This window comes from Homo sapiens, chromosome 11, assembly GCF_000001405.40.
Source record: "Homo sapiens chromosome 11, GRCh38.p14 Primary Assembly".
NCBI classification, from domain to species: Eukaryota; Metazoa; Chordata; class Mammalia; order Primates; family Hominidae; genus Homo; species Homo sapiens.
Window position 1 is genome coordinate 23,930,715 of NC_000011.10, and position 5,157 is coordinate 23,935,871.

General features: G+C 42.0%; 2 annotated features.

Moving 5' to 3' along the window:
- Window positions 3,721-4,222: an enhancer, noted in NCBI's record as "H3K4me1 hESC enhancer chr11:23955981-23956482 (GRCh37/hg19 assembly coordinates)". NCBI's record gives its function as "activates a minimal SCP1, AML or CMV promoter by ChIP-STARR-seq in naive H9 embryonic stem cells {active_cell/tissue: H9 hESC(naive)}" and the evidence as "EXISTENCE:reporter gene assay evidence [ECO:0000049][PMID:30033119]".
- Window positions 4,223-4,722: an enhancer, noted in NCBI's record as "H3K4me1 hESC enhancer chr11:23956483-23956982 (GRCh37/hg19 assembly coordinates)". NCBI's record gives its function as "activates a minimal SCP1, AML or CMV promoter by ChIP-STARR-seq in primed H9 embryonic stem cells {active_cell/tissue: H9 hESC(primed)}" and the evidence as "EXISTENCE:reporter gene assay evidence [ECO:0000049][PMID:30033119]".

Here is a 5,157-nt window from a genome sequence, read left to right on the forward strand (position 1 = left end):
TTCACTTGCCTTTCCTCCTTAAAAAGAGACAAAGTATAGTTTCTCCCAATCCGAAGTAATTAGATTTGCTGAGGGAAAGACTACGTAAAAGAAAAATGTAAAGATACACTGGGAAAAAAAATGAACTCAAGATTTTAAAACCTTTAATAGATATGATTTATTTTCTCTGTATTTCTCTAATATGAATAAGAAACCTGTTAACTAATCATCTTTTCTTGAGGATACAAGAAAACATATGAGTTCAGGGATAGACTTTTCCCTGCTAGGCAACTTAGTATCAGCATTTAACTTGCAGGTAGAAGCAGGGTTATATCACATGGGGTTGTGTTCTGAAAAATGGGCAATTTTGTGGATTTTTTTTAATACTAGTAATAGGTATCTATTTGGTTTGCAGATTTCATAATTAGAGAATTACACTTATAAACCTCGGGAGTCAAAGGAGAAAATAAACTTCACTAAGGAAGAAACAGAACAATTTTATTCATAGGATATTTATCTAGTTTGTGGTGTATTTTTTCCCTGGGTATCTTTTTATGTTTAGGTTGAACTATATAAAACGGATGTTTTCATAGTTCAAGATGAGCCAATTATTGGCAATTTGATATGGTTTAATTTAATAAAAGTGAATAAGCACAATATTTTTGATGGATCTGTGACAAGTAGTGATTGTTTTTCTATGATAAGATTGCTTAAATTCTCGCTAACATATAAAATTTTGGTTTAGTCTGTGAATCATAAAACTAATTTTTCTTCATTCATTTAATATTTATTGAGTGATGACTATGTGCTAGATACTGTCTTATGCATAAGGTATAGTACACAACAACGTCCTTCCTTTCACAAATTGTACATTGCAGTGGATAGATGGACTATAAGAAAGCTATATAAAATCTGTGTTTAGCATGTTAAGTAGTAATAGCTTCAAAGGCGAAAAAAAGGACAAAAAAAGAGGATTGGGTTGTGGGAGTAGGAAGAGGAGTTTAAAGTGTTTAACTTGGAGGAATAGGAAAGGCCTGAATGGGGTGAGGAAATAATTATAGTGAATGTCTATCATCAAAAATAATGACAGAAGCAGCAAGTAAGTGCAAAGGCCCCCAGTGTGCCTGATGAGAACAGAGGGCACAGTGTGGACAGATAGAACGGAGTGAGCCTAAGGGAGAATAGACACTCAGTGAGGTCACTTAGGGACTGGGTATGAGGGCTAAGCCTTGGAACATCTCAAGACTAGATTTTAGTAATTTGAGGAGAAATGAGGAAACATATGAAGAATGAATCTTCAGAAGTACAAAAGAAAATCAAGCGATTGTGGAATCTCAAATGCCATGTTAAAAAGATATTCTGAGAAAGAAAAAGTGATCATTTGGTATCTTTTCCCAAAATAGTGGATTTTTGTTTTTCATTAGGAATGGGGACTACACTTTCACATTCAAGATTTTAGTAAGGTACAATGAAGAAGAAACAATATGAGTTCTTATGATGTTTTTGCATGGCAGAAACATCTGGATAATATAATATCATTACATATTATATATAATTTATACTGCTCCAACTTCAAATAATGGCTAGTAGCCATAAGGGTGATACATTATCATAAAATACTTTAAACACAGTAAATGTTTCTGTCCACATGCTGCGGATATTCCATTGATTTTGAAAATTACCTTCAGAATCTTATTTACAGAATTTCATGGGTCAGAGCAGTTTATGAAACATAGAATAAACTATCTACCTTCAAAAAACAATCTTCAATTCATGTTCCATTTCTGATATCTTTGTTTACCAGTAAATGATGACTCCAACAACACAAGTGTTGTGAAACATCAATAACCTTTAACTTCTACTCCTTTATGAAGTAATGTGGCAGTTGCTTTTATACACAGAGGTAATCCCAGAGACTGAGCTGCTATTTCCAGCTATTCAGATGAGTCATTTAACCTCTTTTTATCCTTTAAAGATAAGAATATATTGTTCTTTGGCCTACTTCACTGGGATGAAATGAATATTGGTGAGATAATGTCTATGAAACAATTTGAATGTCTCACAAAAACAATGCCAAGTGTTTTCAAAGCAACTTGCTGGAGTTTCTGATCCAGAGGCTGAAAAGGAAACCCATGAAACTAGATTGTTTTCACTGACATTGTAAAGATTGGAGATAAAGGGAGATTCTTTCTTTTCTGCAAAAGGGAAACCATTGCTCTAAGGCTGCAAAAAGGTTCATGGAGAGAGGCTTATCTGTCTTGAATAAATTTCTGAAGAATAGTGATTGCTTTTACAAGGGTTCAGTAGGCATAGGGATGTCAAAAGATGCACATGAAACTGCCCAAGACAGGAGAATGGAGGAATCTAACTTCTGGGATAGCTACTCTCTTCCCTGTTTCCTTGTTTGTGGCACTGGCATTTACTAGGTTGGCATAACTTATAAATATGGCATTCATTCTTGTGTTCTTTATTCACCATATCCAATCTACCTCCAAATCCTGCCTGCTGTCTGTCATCATTATCTTGCTAAGCACCACCAGTCTTTTTGTACTTACTATTTTGCTTTATTCAATCTACTAGCATTCTCTCATCTTGATTATTGTGGTTCACTATCGTGGCCAGGTCTATTTCTCCATTCCATCTTTCACATCTAAAGCACGTGCCATCCCTTTTGTCTTTTTCCTGCTGATTCCATCAAACTTTTTACCTTACAACTTCTGAAATATAGCCTTTGCTCCAGGCATGCTGAATTATGAATAGTTCTCCAAAAGTCCTATGCTGTTTCATACCTCTGGCTGTTACACATGTCACTTCTGCCAGGAAAGTCCTCCCTCCCTTTACAGGAGCAATAATATAGTATTGTCCTTGGAGCAAGGGCTTTGGTAAGGATCAAATGTCATCCTTTTCTTCCCAACTATGTGTCTCTGGACAAAATTCTGAATTTCTCTGTGTGTCAGTGCCACGTCTTCAATATATACATAACAATATAACCTATATCATAGGTTGTGATGAGATTACATTGAAAAACTTGTGCAAATAATGTGCTTAGTACACATTAGATTCATAGCATCTGTTGTTACTATTGTATTTTGTCTAAGTCTTATACTATAACTCAAAACTTGCTGGTTTCTTTTTTATAAACTTTTGTTATCTTCCTCGCTCTGCAAAAGGGTAACTGCTTCCTTCCTCTTTTGTGCTACTCTTTTACCTTATGTGAATAGTATAGTAATTCTAATGTGTCTGGAATTGGTGGGTTCTTGGTCTCACTGACTTCAAGAACGAAACCATGGACCCTCGTGGTGAGTGTTACAGTTCTTGAAGGCGGCGTGTCCGGAGTTTTTCCTTCTGATGTTCAGATGTGTTTGGAGTTTCTTCCTTCTGGTGGGTTCGTGGTCTCGCTGGCTTAGGAGCGAAGCTGCAGACCTTGGCGGTGAGTGTTAAAGTTCATAAAAGCAGTGTGGACCCAAAGAGTGAGCAGCAGCAAGATTTATTGCAAAGAGCAAAAGAACAAAGCTTCCAAAGTGTGGAAGGGGGCCCGAGCGGGTTGCTACTGCTGGCTCGGGCAGCCTGCTTTTATTCTCTTATCTGGCCCCACCCACGTCCTGCTGATTGGTAGAGCCGAGTGGTCTGTTTTGACAGGGCACTGATTGGTGCGTTTATAATCCCTGAGCTAGACATAAAGGTTCTCCAAGGCCCCATCAGATTAGTGAGATACAGAGTATGGACACAAAGGTTCTCCAAGGCCCCACCAGAGCAGCTAGATACAGAGTGTCAATTGGTGCATTCACAAACCCTGAGCTAGACACAGGGTGCTGATTGCTGTGTTTACAAACCTTGAGCTAGATGCAGAGTGCCTATTGGTGTATTTACAATCCCTGAGCTAGACATAAAGGTTCTCCAAGGCCCCACCAGAGCAGCTAGATATAGAGTGTCGATTAGTGCACTCACAAACCCTGAGCTAGATACAGGGTGCTGATTGGTGTGTTTACAAACCTTGAGCTAGATAAAGAGTGCCTATTGGTGTAGTTACAATCCCTGAGCTAGACATAAAGGTTCTCCACGTCCCCACCAGACTCAGGAGCCCAGCTGGGCGCCATGGAGCAGGGGGTGGCATTCGTCGAGGAGGCTTGGGCCGCACAGGAGCCCACAGAGGGGGTGGGAGGCTCAGGCATGGCGGGCTGCAGGCCCCGAGCCCTGCCCCACAGGAAGGCAGCTAAGGCCCGGCGAGAAATCAAGCGCAGCGCCGGTGGGCTGGCACTGCTGGGGGACCCAGTACACCCTCCACAGCCTCTGGCCCGGGTGCTAAGCCCCTCATTGCCCAGGGCCGGCAGGGCCTGCCAAGCCCACGCCCACCCAGAACTCCAGCTGGCCCTCAAGTGCCGCGCGCAGCCCCAGTTCCCGCTTGCGCCTCTCCCTCCACACCTCCCTGCAAGCTGAGGGAGTGGGCTCCGGCCTTGGCCAGCCCAGAAAGGGGGTCCCACAGTGCAGCGGTGGGCTGAAGGGATCCTCAAGTGCGGCCAAAGTGGGAGCCTGGGCAGAGGAGACGCCGAGAGCGAGCGAGGGCTGTGAGGACTGCCAGCACACTGTCACCTCTCAATCCCCCCTCTAAACAGGACATCCCAACTGCTGTTGGGAATTTGGCTGATGACTGCTCTAACTACTTCCTGCTGGATCAGGGCAAAGAAGGGGCCCTGCACTTGTAGTGTCCTTCAGAGGGGAAGTCTCTAGGCCAGGGAAAGTGCCAGTGGGTCAGTCCAGGGGTCCTCAGTAGAAATTGTTAGTTGAACTCATTTGGGGTTCCATTTGTAAGACCATCTGTAGCTTGATGGCCTTGATTCTAGAGGAAACAAATTTGATAAGATGGTTAAAAATACAGGGCCCAAAGGCGAGTAACAGCAAGATGGCTGCCATGGGACCTAGAAAGGGGAGAAGCCATGTTGCCCAACCCCAGAGGTTGGCATAAGAATTTGAAAGGCGTTGTCTGATTTCAGAAGCCTTTTCCTGTAAATGCTGGGTGGCATTTCGTACTATCCCTGACTGGTTACTGTAAAAACAACACTCTTCCCCTAAGAAGGTGCAGAGTCCTCCTTTCTCAGCAGTGAGGAGGTCTAGGCCTCAGCGGTTTTGGAGAGTCACTGCTGCCAAACAGTCTATTTGGGATTGTAAAGTAAGGATAGA